At 40.8% G+C, this 14,743-nt stretch overlaps 1 protein-coding gene across 1 annotated transcript in view, besides 4 other annotated features; it reads left to right on the forward strand.

Annotated features, from left to right (window-relative positions):
• The window catches only part of PHLPP1 (PH domain and leucine rich repeat protein phosphatase 1), a 264,893-nt gene that overhangs the window by 178,649 nt on the left and 71,501 nt on the right, over window positions 1-14,743 (forward strand). The window contains exons 5-8 of the mRNA NM_194449.4: window positions 822-968; window positions 1,592-1,822; window positions 8,775-8,977; window positions 11,035-11,095. Coding sequence (NP_919431.2) covers window positions 822-968; window positions 1,592-1,822; window positions 8,775-8,977; window positions 11,035-11,095 — 642 coding nt within the window. The remainder of the gene's footprint in view (window positions 1-821; window positions 969-1,591; window positions 1,823-8,774; window positions 8,978-11,034; window positions 11,096-14,743) is intronic.
• Window positions 4,229-4,288: a silencer, noted in NCBI's record as "silent region_9521". NCBI's record gives its function as "represses an Ori minimal core promoter by ATAC-STARR-seq in GM12878 lymphoblastoid cells {active_cell/tissue: GM12878}" and the evidence as "EXISTENCE:reporter gene assay evidence [ECO:0000049][PMID:35858748]".
• Window positions 4,341-4,842: an enhancer, noted in NCBI's record as "NANOG-H3K4me1 hESC enhancer chr18:60565763-60566264 (GRCh37/hg19 assembly coordinates)". NCBI's record gives its function as "activates a minimal SCP1, AML or CMV promoter by ChIP-STARR-seq in primed H9 embryonic stem cells {active_cell/tissue: H9 hESC(primed)}" and the evidence as "EXISTENCE:reporter gene assay evidence [ECO:0000049][PMID:30033119]".
• Window positions 11,730-12,342: an enhancer, noted in NCBI's record as "OCT4-NANOG-H3K27ac-H3K4me1 hESC enhancer chr18:60573152-60573764 (GRCh37/hg19 assembly coordinates)". NCBI's record gives its function as "activates a minimal SCP1, AML or CMV promoter by ChIP-STARR-seq in naive H9 embryonic stem cells {active_cell/tissue: H9 hESC(naive)}" and the evidence as "EXISTENCE:reporter gene assay evidence [ECO:0000049][PMID:30033119]".
• Window positions 12,343-12,954: an enhancer, noted in NCBI's record as "OCT4-NANOG-H3K27ac-H3K4me1 hESC enhancer chr18:60573765-60574376 (GRCh37/hg19 assembly coordinates)". NCBI's record gives its function as "activates a minimal SCP1, AML or CMV promoter by ChIP-STARR-seq in naive H9 embryonic stem cells {active_cell/tissue: H9 hESC(naive)}" and the evidence as "EXISTENCE:reporter gene assay evidence [ECO:0000049][PMID:30033119]".

The raw sequence follows: 14,743 nt of genomic DNA on the forward strand, positions 1-14,743 counted from the left end.
ACGAATGATAATTGGTTCTTTTTTGAGATAGAGTGTCACTCTGTCGCCCAGGCTACATTCCAGGAGTGCAATCTCAGCTCACTGCAACCTCCACCTCCCAGGTTCAAGTGATTCTTGTGCCTCAGCCTCCTGAGTAGCTGGGATTACAGGGGTGCACCACCAGGCCCGGCTAATTTTTTGTGTTTTTGGTAGAGATGGGGTTTCACCATGTTGGCCAGGCTGGTCCCAAACTTCTGGCCTCAAGTGATCCACTCATCTCGGCTTCTCAAAGTGCTAGGATTACAGGCCTGAGCCACCAGGCCCAGCTGATAATTGGTTCTTAAATTTGGAACTGCGAAGTCCTGGTTACCTTAGAGAGAGTATTGTTTTGATAAGTTTTTATTATTTCAGTTTTGGGTTTGAGAAACATGAAACAGGAGTTTTTGACTTGTCTGAAACAGCACCGACTCCAGAAGGGCTAACGCCAGCTCTGCCTGGTCCCTTTCCTCCTTCACTGGGGCCATTTACACTGTGTTAATTAAGCTAATTGAGATACTGCTAGAAAGCTTTCTCCAGCAGAATTCACTTCCTGAAATATTCAACCTTATTTTAGAGGGAAAAGTTTGTTTTTAGATAGAATGTTTACATTTTAGGTAAAACACTGGCCTTAGAGTCAGCAGATGTGCATTCCAGTGCTGCTGCTCCTTAACCTCTCTGGGGCCCCCATTTCCTCTTTAGTTGAATTTGGGAGTTGGGCTAGATTATCTCTTAGGCTATGCTAAAATTATGATGTTAATGACATTTGTCTCTTTTTTCCCTTTTGTTTTGCTTTATTGTAATAGGTTCACCAAGTTGAAGAGTCTTAACCTTTCCAATAATCATTTAGGGGACTTCCCACTGGCAGTCTGCAGTATTCCAACCCTGGCAGAGCTGAACGTGTCCTGCAATGCCCTGCGATCAGTCCCGGCAGCCGTTGGAGTGATGCACAAGTGTGTACTTCAAACCCCACTGGCGGGTATATCCAGAAGCCCCAGGGAAGCTGCATTGGGGGTGTGGCACATGAGATTAGTTAACTTGTTATGTTGCTCATGTAAGTCTTGGCCCCAAATCAAGAGATCAGGGACTATGTAGTCCGTATGGAGTTCATATGTTGGATTTGTACTCCTTACAGTCTTGTAAAAAAATTAAATATTCTTGTTTAGAACTGAAGATCCCTACAGATGAGTATGTCTAAACATGGAATGTGGGTTATGTTCTCATTTTTCTGAGTTATATTGAATTTTAAGACTTAGAAATTAATTTTAAGAAATAACAAGGAAAGCCCAAAGGATATCTGAATCAATTCATATCACAGTTAGCTCACATTGCTCCCATTTAAGCCTATTCAAATTGGGAAAACTAGTCATGATTTTCATTTTCAATAAAAGATTAAGATGCTTATCTCTGATTATTTCTCTTTGGTCCATTATTGCCTCAGGCCCTGCCCTTAGGCATTTTGCGAAGAATAATACATTTTCTGGTAATACGGTCTACACTTATGGAACTTGTATGTTGATAATAAAGATGTAAAATTTATATGTTCTCTTTGTAATTCTTATGTTTTCTCTAATAGCTTACAGACATTTTTGTTGGATGGAAACTTTCTCCAATCCCTTCCTGCTGAGTTGGAGAACATGAAGCAGCTTAGTTATCTGGGTCTTTCTTTCAATGAATTTACTGACATTCCCGAAGTATTGGAGAAATTGACTGCTGTGGATAAACTTTGTATGTCTGGAAACTGTGTGGAGACCCTTAGGCTACAGGCTTTAAGAAAAATGCCTCACATTAAACATGTGGATCTAAGGTAACCATTTTTGAGAAATAGATCTCATTTGAGTGGCTGGCTTATATTGCAGGGGTGGGGAGTAGGTTATTAACCAAGGCAAACAAGCTGGGTAATTGAATGTGGGCCCGTTTTTCTATTTCTGCCTAGAGGGAAGAATTATGATTAATAGTAGGGTTTGCTATTACTGGAAACTCTCACTGATGTATGTCTTGAAGGTCTTTGTTTTGCAGATTGGAACCCAGTTGAGTGAGAGAGCTGTTTTTTGTTGTTGTTGTTGGTTTTTGTTTTTTTTGTTGTTCTTGTTTTTTTTTTTTTTGAGTCAAAGTCTCGCTCTGTCGCCCAGGCTGGAGTGCGGTGGCCTGATCTCGGCTTACTGCAAGCTCCGCCTGCCAGGTTCATGCCATTCTCCTGTCTCAGCCTCCCTAGTAGCTGGGACTACAGGCACCCACCACCATGCCTGGCTAATTTTTTTGTATTTTTAGTAGAGACGAAGTTTCACTGTGTTAGTAGCCAGGATGGTCTCGATCTCCTGACCTCGTGATCCACCCGCCTCGGCCTCCCAAAGTGCTGGGATTACAGGCATGAGCCACCATGCCCGTCCTGTTTTTTGTTGTTGTTTTTAAAGAGATGGGGCCTTGCTCTCTTGCCCGGCCTGGAGTGTAATGATGTGCTCAGAGCTCACTGCAGCCTCAAACTCCTGGGCTCAGGTGATCTTCCTGCCTCAGCCTCCCAAGTACTCAGGCATGTTCAGTTTCATCAGTGTAAAGGAGCATCACCTTTTGCTCCCCTTTCTTCTCCTTTCATATGGTTCAGCCTAGGAAACCTATACATTCCAGTCCCATAAAGAATTGCTTGGCTTCACCTTTCCTCAGAATAAAGGAATCAGACCTGTCCCTCCTAGGGAAGTATTAGCAATTTGCAGATATAAAATTCTTAATTTGGAGGTAAAAGTGGTTATAATTTATCTGATTTTTGAGAATTTCTTGGAATGTGACAAGATAAGGAACTCTAAACACTTTGTTAACTTGCTTTCTAAATTGTTAACATTATTTGCCTCTTGAGTTCCTTGTATTTAGAAAACCCTCATATTCCAGAATTTGAGCCCTATTTTATTCATCCACCAGTGGTAGAACTTCATTAGAGCCAAGGACAATGGCTTGCACTGACCTCAGGTAGTAAGAATGAGATGATTTCTGAGTTACCTGGTACATGTAGGGAGACATCATTTTTCTTGATCTGAATTAGCTTACACATAAGATCAATCTGAAATGTCTGGAAGTAATAAATCTTAGTAAGAGCTTTATAAATTCTTCAGATTCATAGTTCTAACTTGAGTTTTTAGATGACATCACCTACAGGATATTTAAATACCAGAATAGACATTAGACACTCTGTAAATGTTGCATGACCATGAGTAACTGCTTCCTTCCTGGCTCCTGAGCTGAGGAGGGGAAAATCAGATAGGTTTGTTCTAATTCTGCCTTAATACTTTATTTGTTGTTTATTGTTTTTGTTTTTGCTTCTGTTTTCAGAGATAGAGTATCTGTCTGTCGCCCAGGCTGGAGTGCAGTGGCATGATCTCAGCTCACTGCAACCTCCACCTCCTGGGTTCAAGAGATTCTCCTCCCTCAACCTCCCGAGTAGCTGGGATTACAAGTGCCCGCCACCACACCTGGCTAGTTTTTGTATTTTTACTGAAGACAGGGGTTCACCATATTGGCCAGACTGGTCTTGAACTCCTGACCTCAAGTGATCCACCTGCCTCGACCTCTCAAAGTGCTGGAATTACAGACATGAGCCACCACACCCAGCCTAATTCTGCCTTAATACTTAAAATCAAAGCTAGTGGAGTAATTTAAGGAGAGTCTTGCTTAGTTTCTCTAAGTAAAGGGCCACTTTTATTCAATTTTTTTTCCCTTTAAATGGAAATGGTACATCAGATTGATTATTTTTTTCTTTGCATTGATGTTGTTTGAGTTTGATATTATTTCTTCTGTGGCATCATTAATAATTCCTCCTCCCTTCTCCTCTTTCTCCTCTTTGTACAAAGTGTGGCTGTTACTTCTTGGTCAGTTCTCTTTCTATCCATGTTTTCTGCCTTGGGGGTTGCATATACTCTCAGGCTTCATTTTCACCTTTCATCTTGATGTTAATCATTCCCCAGTCTTTCCCTATTCCTTCTTTGACTTCTTGAGACCAGTTCCACTTAAGCTGCCAGCTGGATAACTTCTTGGTTTTCCCTATTCACACATTTAACCAAATACATGTAAAACAGAGTTCAGTGTCTTTCTTACTCAACCAATTCTTTCTCATGGATTTCTTTTTTTGCTGATAGCAACACCACCTCATTGGTTTTCCAGACACACAACTCTTGGCTGATTCTGTCAGCTCTTCTTTTACATGAGTTTCTGTCTTTTATCCCTTCCTTTTTCTTCTCACTGTGACTGTTGTCTTCTACCTGAGCCATTTGCTTCCATTGTGCAGCCTCCCAAGCAAGCACAATTTTGCTCAGAGCCTGCGGTTCTCTAGTTCAAGGTACTCAAGCCCTCATATTTGGTTTCAGCCCACTGGTATGTGAGTCATTTGAGGATGAGGCTCTATCTCTGAGCTGCTCATGTGTGGGCCTCCAACCTGTGGTGGCAAGTTAACTATTTGCTACTTTTCCACAATGAGATGTGTACAGAAGTTAAGACTAATATTTTAGTAACATATAATGATTTGACATTGCCACAATATCCAACTGCATTACGAGTTGATTCTTGCTGTACAGGGAATCAACTAGTTTTTTTTATTTTGTTTTATTTATTATTATTATTATTATTTTTTGAGACGGAATTTCTTGTTGCCCAGACTGGAGTGCAGTGGTGTGATCTCGGCTCACTGCAACCTCCGCTTCCCAGATTTAAGCAATTTTCCTGCCTCAGCCTCCCAAGTAACTGGGATTACAGGCGCCCATCACCATGACCGGCTAATTTTTTGTATTTTTAGTAGAGACAGGGTTTCACCATGTTGGCCAGGTTGGTCTCAAACTCCTGACCTCAAGTGATCCAACTGCTTCGGCCTCCCAAAGTGCTGGGATTACAGCCATGAGCCACTGCGCCTGGCCTCAACTAATTTAGATGTTGTCAAACTTGCACAGTGAGTTGCATGTGATGTGAGCTGTGTATGGGTTGTGTACTATACATCAGTCTGTCATGAATTACAACTTTAGAAAATAGGTCTCCTTCACCATAGATAATTTAAGCACTGTTTTTATTTATCCTTCAACCCCAGTGTGAGTCCTTAGTAGGTCCAGTCCTTGGTTAATTGCCTCACCCACCTTTGTAGCACAGACCCTTGCATCCCCTGCCCTCCTGTAGAAGCTATTCAGGCAGGCACCAAACTTGCCCTGTGCTCTTCTGTTTGATGCAGAGGCTGTTCCATTGCTTCCTCGCACCTGCTTTTCTTCTCCCATGTACACCTGTTCCATTCTGCCTACTCTTGGGAATCAGATGATTTGCTTCCTTTTCCATAGCCTCTTTTTTAAAAAACCATTCTCTACATTTTATACATCATTCGTGGCACTTACCACATACCTGTAGTTCCTGTATTTTATAAAACATATTTGACTCTCCTTACTAAATTGTGAAATCTGTTGAAAAACACCTTGTTTTATTCATCTCTTACTGCAACAAAGCCATAGGTCATCATCGTTGTCACCATCACCATAGCCCTTCTACAGGCTGGAGTGCAGCGGTACAAGCGCAGGTCATTAGAGCCTTGATCTCCTGGACTTAAGTGATCCCCCTCCCTCAGCCTCCTGTGTAGCTGGGATGAAAAGTACACACTACCACACTTGGCTAATTTTTAAATTTTTTAGAGAGATGGGACCGCAGTTTGTTGCCTAGGCTGGCTCAAACTCTTGGGCTCAAGTTGTTCTCCTGCCTTAGCCTCCCCAAGTGCTGAGAATTACAGGCATGAGTAACCACGCCTGGCCAGAAGGGAATTTTCATCATATTTTGCCTTTTAAAAAGTTTGTCTGGGCCAGGTGCAGTGGCTCCTGCCTGTAATCTCAGCACTTTGGGAGGCCGAGGCAGGTGGATCACCTGAGGTCAGGAGTTCAAGACCAGCCTGGCCAACATGGCAAAACCCCGCCTCTACTAAAAATGCAAAAATTAGCTGGCTGTGGTGGCATGTTCCTGTAGTCCCAACTACTCGGTAGGCTAAGGCAGGAGACTTGTTTGAACCCAGGAGGCGGAGGTTGCAGTGGGCCAAGATCGCACCACTGCACTCCAACCTGGGTGACAGAGCAAGACTTTGCCTTAAAATAATAAATAAATAAATAAATAAATAAATAAATAAATAAATAAATAAATAAAAAGTTTGTCCTAGTTACATCATGGTGACTGTGGTCAACAATATGTTGTAGTTGTTTGTATTCTTGTTTTTTCTTTTTCTTTCTTTTTTTTTTTTTTTTTTTTTTTTTTTTGAGACAGGGTCTCACTTTGTTACCCAAGCTGGAATGCAATCACAGCTTGTTACCCAAGCTGTGGTGCAATCACAGTTCACTGCAGCCTCAAACTCCTGGGTTCGAGTGATCTTCCTGCCCCAGCCTCTCAAATAGCTGGGAGTATAGGCACGTGCCACCATGGCTGGCTAATTTTTTATTTTTTGTAGAGATGGGGTCTTGCTCTGTTGCCCAGTCTGGTCTCAAACGAACCTTCTACTTCAGCCTCCCAAAGTGGTAGGATTACAGAGTTTGAGCTACCACACCCTGCCATAATATATTGTATTCTTGAACAATGCTAAGAGAGTGGATGTATTTTCACCACAAAAGTGAAATATCTCACAAATAACTATGTGAGATAGTGCATGTGAACTAGCTAGAATTAGTCACTTCACAGTTTACGTATATTTCAAAAGTCATGCTGTACACAATAAATATGTACAGTTTTATCTGTCAATTAAACAAATAATAAAACGGTTCATCCTAAGTAGCTGAATTACTGTGTGAACCTGAAAACTTGGTATTTCAGTCATGGTGAGAGTTAACAACTTAAGCCAAATGTTAGCTTTCTTTTTTGTTACATTAACTTTGCTTTTGTTATAGATTTTTTTGTCTCCTTATTAATTCAATGCTTATTATTTTAGTACTAATACAATTTCATTGTATTGAATGAAATTGTGTGTGGCTCTTTCAAGTGAAGATGATAAAGCCATTATGAAGGTTATTTGAAGTGTAGATTGGGAAGAAGATGGGACATTTGTTCCATTCCTGCAGTCTGTTGTACCCAAGATGAGATGTGTTTTTTCTTTTTTATTCTGTTTACACATTCTAGTAATCTAGTGAGCATTTGGAAATAAGCAGATTGCTGGGTCAAGGCCAGTTTTTAAATCTTACAACCTGGAATAAAAAAAGAGAAAGAGCCAAAAAAACATCCTCTTAGGGCCATTGGAAAAGGCCATATGCTGTGCTTGCGTGTTGACAAATCCCAGCTCTTTGCTGGAACTCATCCTTGTGTTTCAGTGGCTTTAGGATATTATTCTTAATTCATTTTCCATAGGTTTATTTTATTTTTTTAAAGGACAGAAATTCACTATAGAGAAACTCTAGCTTTTTCCTGTACTCTAGACTTATATTAATACTCCTTTTTTCTTTTTTTTTTTTTGAGATGGAGTCTCGCTCTGTCGCCCAGGCTAGAGTGCAATGGCGTGATCTTGGCTCACCACAACCTCCACCTCCTGGGTTTAAGCAGTTCTCCTGCCTCAGCTTCCCGAGTAGCTGGGATTACAGGCGTGTGCCACCATGCCCAGCTAATTTTTTGTATTTTTTTTTTAGTAGAGATGGGGTTTCACCATGCTGGCCAGGCTGGTCTCGAACTCCTGACCTCGTGAAACACCCACCTCAGCCTCCCAAAGTGCTGGGATTACAGGTGTGAGCCATCGCACCCATCCTATATTAATACTTTTCTAAACAAGTGCATCATCTCAGCACTTTGCTGGCTTTGTAATGGAAAATAGATGGTTTTTGTTGTTTGTTTTTAAAGGAGTTAGACATAGCCTAACAAACTGGAAATTGACATTTCCATCTATTTTTCTCCCTTTTGAAGCTAAATATGTCTTTGTTATTTTGGTTCCTAGTCCCCATTACTACTTATTTTCTGATAGTTCATCCACAGCAACTTCAGTCAGTTAGCTCACTAGTTCTTATGGCTAGAGATTCCGCCAGTTTTCCCCTGTGCCTTGCTTCATCACAGAGGTGTTGGTTCCCATTTTTGTCCGGCATTCTAAGATTTCTCAATGGATTCTAGATGCCGGATTTCAGTATTTTCTGCACTTCACTCTATCAAGCAGTATTTTATAGACAGAGATAGTTTTGGTGGTTCATCCTGGTCCTGAGCAGTTGGGAGTCATGTACTTGCATTCCCATCTCTGGTGCTCCCATTCAGTGTGCAACTCTTATTCGTTGTGTGACTCCCGTCCATTACTGTTTTTCCACCTCAACCTTTAATTCCATGCTACTCATCCGCCTGTTCATGCATCCTCTCTCCTTCATTAAATATTCGTTGTAGTTGTGATGTGCCTAACAGTTGTTCTGAGTTTTGTTTCTTATGTTCTTTTCGGTATGGTGTAGATAGTTTCACAGTTCCTTGGATGTCAGTTCCTAGTTCTTTGGAAGTCAGTGCTTAAGTGGAATTTTTTTCCCTCTTGAAGTGAATTAAGGTAAAGTCAATGTGCTTATTCCTCTCCCAGCTGTAGTGGTGTCACTTGTGTTTCAGAATATATTGTGAAGGTTAAAACCTCCTGGAATTATAGCTAAAAATAGATACTCTGGCTAGTTAAGAAAGGCCGGATGCTGAGATTCCAAAAATCATGGAGAACTATAATACAGAGAGAACTGAGTTCTTTCTCGCTATTTCTCATATTAGGGTGTGCCCATTTACTTATAGCATTGCAGTTAATTATAGTCTCTATGTCCTTTGCCCTCAAGGTTGAACGTAATTAGGAAGCTGATAGCAGATGAAGTGGACTTTCTACAGCATGTTACTCAGCTTGACCTACGAGACAATAAGCTTGGTGATCTAGATGCTATGATTTTCAACAACATTGAAGTTTTACACTGTGAAAGGAATCAACTGGTCACATTAGACATCTGTGGCTATTTCCTAAAAGCGCTCTATGCCTCTTCTAATGGTATGTATCATAGGCTACATCAAAGTTGCTCTTTTGGTTCCAGGAATTTACCCAGCATCATTATTTCTGCTTCTGATTATTCTTTGCTCAAGTAGTTAGTAAAATAGCTCAAATTTTGCTAAAATAAAAGTCACAAAAGAAAAATGCTGACTTATTGTTTAAAGGACTCAAAAAGGAAAATTTTATTGTCCCTAATTTTTTTCTCGTATTGTGATTTGGATAAGTTACTCCCACTTTTGATTTGATTTTTCTGCTTAAAGGAAGAGAGAAAAGTGAACTATTTCTTGGGCTACATTACCAAGATCTAGAGATCTTTACTACCTTATTACTAAATCTGGAACCTTTATTTAATACTGGAGAATGAAAGGAAGTTTTATTTTGACTCCATTCGGGATCTCCAGTTTCATGTTTGACTAACAAAGAACTCACCTTAATATAAACCAGAATGTTAGCTGGGCGTGGTGGTGTATGCCTGTAGTCCCAGCTACTTGGGAATGGGAAGCTGAGGCAGGAGGATTGCTGGAGCCCAGGAGGTGGAGGCTGCGGTCGTCTGAGATCACACTACTGCACTCCAGCCTGGTTGACAGAGCGAGACCCTGTCTCAAAAAAAAAAAAAAGACAAGAAAAGATAATTTAAAAAAGATAAACTAGAATGATATATGCACAAGAAGGACACCATGAAGCTAGAGTCTTAATCATTTAATAATATTTCTTCCTAAGAATCTGAAAATCAGGGCAGTTCCAAAAAAGAAAAGGTAGTATGGGCATATGTTTGCTAAGATGAAGGTTTCCATTCCCTACAGTCAGTAAACTGAATGAAAACAAGTGTTCACTACTGCAAGTTGAACATATGTTTATCACGCACTTGTTTTATGCATAGTGCAGCTCATGAGCTCTGAAAGATGAAGGATTTTTCAAATGTGATTACTGTTATCTCAGAAAAACAAGCCAAGCCTCAAATAGGTATATTTTCTAGTGTAATCAGTTTGGCTGAGCACTGAAGGGTTATAGGATTTAGATAACCAGTGGGAATGAAGTAGGAAGAAAGAATCTGAATGTGGCTTGTTCGGCAGTTGGGAGAAAACAGGGAATTCTGAACCCATAGAAGTAATTAGGGGATGCATGCTTTTGTCAGATGGTCAAGCATTGCCCTTAGCTTAGTAAGCGATAGAGAACCAGTAGAGACTCTAAAGTGGAGGAGACTTGATGGAAGTGATGCTTTAAGGCAGTTAATGTGAAAATAGTGTGTACAGAATGCATTTATAGAAGAAGGTTGAGGGTAATCCACTACTCCACTAATCCAAGTTATTGTGATGGGCTTCATGTGGGTTAATGGGAACTTGTAGTCAAGATTACATATGTTGATTTGAGACTTACCTGCTCAGAGGTGATACCTGAAACCAGGGAAGTAAGGTAACTGGAAGAGAGGAGAGTGCTAGTACCAAAGGTCAACTTACAAGCCCCTCACACTTAGCTGCAGCCAGACTGGGCAACCAGATAGGAGCTGCACCTGTGAATTACTTGGTAATTGTTTAGAGAAGCAGAAGGACATTTACAAACTACTCTTGTCCAAGAAACACAGTGACAGGGGACAGTGGTGTCATATTTCATAAAGTGTTCAGGAAGTGTTTCAGATTTAAGTAAAATAAGTCATTTGTGACCCACTGGAGTGCTGTTTCAGTAAGGTGATGAGGGCAAAAGACAAGAAGCATTACTTGGTTTTATGGAAGGACCCTTGGGTTTTAAAAGGATGGTACTCGTGGTTAATCTTTCAGATGTGATACAGCCTGCATAACAATAAGAGCAACAGTAAATGGATAGCAAAGAGGTAGGAAATTAGAATGCATGATGTATTTCAATCTCTGAAGAAGATCTTGTGATTAAAAGTTCTTTTTTACTTTTCCTGCACTTTCAAAGTTAAACAAATGATGTATTGTACTTCCTAAACTAAACAAACAATAGAGAATAAAGCACAGTAATGACGTTCCACATACAAAAAGAGTCTCTATGTCATTTGTATAGTAATGTCTTTGTGGGGTTTTTTTTTTTCTTCCTAGAACTTGTTCAACTTGATGTTTACCCAGTTCCAAATTATCTGTCCTACATGGATGTTTCAAGGTAAGAAGTCAAGTCTTAGAGCCCTCTAGAGTCTACTAGAAAATTATTTAGTAATTCTGTCTGAGCTTATGCACAAGTACTTTTTAATATTTTGAAGGTAAATGCTAAAAAATTAATGATTTTTACTTTATTCTCTAAAATTATATATATCTATTGATTAAAATACATTTGTAGTTCAAACCAGAGCATCAAAGTGCCTGTGCACACCAATTTGAACACACATTTGGACTTGAAAGGTGAGTAAGTTGAGGGCCATATGGCTTAAAGCTCTAATAACTCTTTTCATTATATGAATCATATTTTTTTGTCTTTCCCTGAAGTAATGTTAATTTTATTTTTTATTTTCAAAATTTTTTTTCAAACTCTGCCAAGTCTTAGGATGATTTAATTTTTTAAGTGCTTTATTTCTTTGGATTTCTTACACCCCTTGTTTAGACATATATCTCTTCGCTAAAAATTCTTAGGAAATAATGACAAAGCCTATCAAAATAGAAATTCTCTACAACCTGCTTGGTTTTCTTAGCTCCTTTTTGAATATGCTAACTATTTTACCTTTTATGGTAATTTGCTTCTGCAGTGTATTATATTTATTGCGGTTCCCACAAATATTATAGTAGACTTTTTCTTGAAGGCACAAAGGCTTGACAGTGTCTACAGTATGTATTTATACCACGTAAACTTAAAAATTTTTAACAATGAATTTTAAAATTGCAACTCATTTGGAAGGTAACTCCAAAGGAGATACACAAAAATGTTCTAAACATAGGGAGTTTGTGGCCCACTCAAGGTGACAACTGTTAACTCATTTCAGGGCTTAAATTCTGGTGTGTTTATTAACAGTCACCATGCTTTTTAATCACAACTATTGTATGATTTGTCTTCTACAGAATTTTGCCTTTTATCTTGAGATTACACAGGCTTAGCTATTTTAATAATCTATTCAATCATAATTATGCAAGATGTGTCAGTACTTAGCTATTGGGAAAATATTACAGTTAAATTTTTATTGGGGGAGGAGCCAAGATGGCCGAATAGGAACAGCTCCGGTCTACAGCTCCCAGCGTGAGCGACGCAGAAGACGGGTGATTTCTGCATTTCCATCTGAGGTACCGGGTTCATCTCACTAGGGAGTGCCAGACAGTGGGCGCAGGCCAGTGTGTGTGTGCACCATGCGCGAGCCGAAGCAGGGCGAGGCATTGCCTCACCTGGGAAGCGCAAGGGGTCAGGGAGTTCCCTTTCCGAGTCAAAGAAAGGGGTGACGGACGCACCTGGAAAATCGGGTCACTCCCACCCGAATATTGCGCTTTTCAGACCGGCTTAAGAAACGGCGCACCACGAGACTATATCCCACACCTGGCTCAGAGGGTCCTACGCCCACGGAATCTCGCTGATTGCTAGCACAGCAGTCTGAGATCAAACTGCAAGGCGGCAACGAGGCTGGGGGAGGGGCGCCCGCCATTGCCCAGGCTTGCTTAGGTAAACAAAGCAGCCGGGAAGCTCGAACTGGGTGGAGCCCACCACAGCTCAAGGAGGCCTGCCTGCCTCTGTAGGCTCCACCTCTGGGGGCAGGGCACAGACAAACAAAAAGACAGCAGTAACCTCTGCAGACTTAAGTGTCCCTGTCTGACAGCTTTGAAGAGAGCAGTGGTTCTCCCAGCACGCAGCTGGAGATCTGAGAACGGGCAGACTGCCTCCTCAAGTGGGTCCCTGACACCTGACCCCCGAGCAGCCTAACTGGGAGGCACCCCCCAGCAGGGGCACACTGACACCTCACACGGCAGGGTATTCCAACAGACCTGCAGCTGAGGGTCCTGTCTGTTAGAAGGAAAACTAACAACCAGAAAGGACATCTACACCGAAAACCCATCTGTACATCACCATCATCAAAGACCAAAAGTAGATAAAACCACAAAGATGGGGAAAAAACAGAACAGAAAAACTGGAAACTCTAAAACGCAGAGCGCCTCTCCTCCTCCAAAGGAACGCAGTTCCTCACCAGCAACAGAACAAAGCTGGATGGAGAATGATTTTGACGAGCTGAGAGAAGAAGGCTTCAGACGATCAAATTACTCTGAGCTACGGGAGGACATTCAAACCAAAGGCAAAGAAGTTGAAAACTTTGAAAAAAATTTAGAAGAATGTATAACTAGAATAACCAATACAGAGAAGTGCTTAAAGGAGCTGATGGAGCTGAAAACCAAGGCTCGAGAACTACGTGAAGAATGCAGAAGCCTCAGGAGCCGATGCGATCAACTGGAAGAAAGGGTATCAGCAATGGAAGATGAAATGAAGCGAGAAGGGAAGTTTAGAGAAAAAAGAATAAAAAGAAATGAGCAAAGCCTCCAAGAAATATGGGACTATGTGAAAAGACCAAATCTACGTCTGATTGGTGTACCTGAAAGTGATGTGGAGAATGGAACCAAGTTGGAAAACACTCTGCAGGATATTATCCAGGAGAACTTCCCCAATCTAGCAAGGCAGGCCAACGTTCAGATTCAGGAAATACAGAGAACGCCACAAAGATACTCCTCGAGAAGAGCAACTCCAAGACACATAATTGTCAGATTCACCAAAGTTGAAATGAAGGAAAAAATGTTAAGGGCAGCCAGAGAGAAAGGTCGGGTTACCCTCAAAGGAAAGCCCATCAGACTAACAGCGGATCTCTCGGCAGAAACCCTACAAGCCAGAAGAGAGTGGGGGCCAATATTCAACATTCTTAAAGAAAAGAATTTTCAAACCAGAATTTCATATCCAGCCAAACTAAGCTTCATAAGTGAAGGAGAAATAAAATACTTTATAGACAAGCAAATGCTGAGAGATTTTGTCACCACCAGGCCTGCCCTAAAAGAGCTCCTGAAGGAAGCGCTAAACATGGAAAGGAACAACCGGTACCAGCCGCTGCAAAATCATGCCAAAATGTAAAGACCATCGAGACTAGGAAGAAACTGCATCAACTAATGAGCAAAATCACCAGCTAACATCATAATGACAGGATCAAATTCACACATAACAATATTAACTTTAAATGTAAATGGACTAAATTCTGCAATTAAAAGACACAGACTGGCAAGTTGGATAAAGAGTCAAGACCCATCAGTGTGCTGTATTCAGGAAACCCATCTCACGTGCAGAGACACACATAGGCTCAAAATAAAAGGATGGAGGAAGATCTACCAAGCCAATGGAAAACAAAAAAAGGCAGGGGTTGCAATCCTAGTCTCTGATAAAACAGACTTTAAACCAACAAAGATCAAAAGAGACAAAGAAGGCCATTACATAATGGTAAAGGGATCAATCCAACAAGAGGAGCTAACTATCCTAAATATTTATGCACCCAATACAGGAGCACCCAGATTCATAAAGCAAGTCCTGAGTGACCTACAAAGAGACTTAGACTCCCACACATTAATAATGGGAGACTTTAACACCCCACTGTCAACATTAGACAGATCAATGAGACAGAAAGTCAACAAGGATACCCAGGAATTGAACTCAGCTCTGCACCAAGCAGACCTAATAGACATCTACAGAACTCTCCACCCCAAATCAACAGAATATACATTTTTTTCAGCACCACACCACACCTATTCCAAAATTGACCACATAGTTGGAAGTAAAGCTCTCCTCAGCAAATGTAAAAGAACAGAA

This window comes from Homo sapiens, chromosome 18 (genome assembly GCF_000001405.40).
Source record: "Homo sapiens chromosome 18, GRCh38.p14 Primary Assembly".
NCBI lineage: Eukaryota > Metazoa > Chordata > Mammalia > Primates > Hominidae > Homo > Homo sapiens.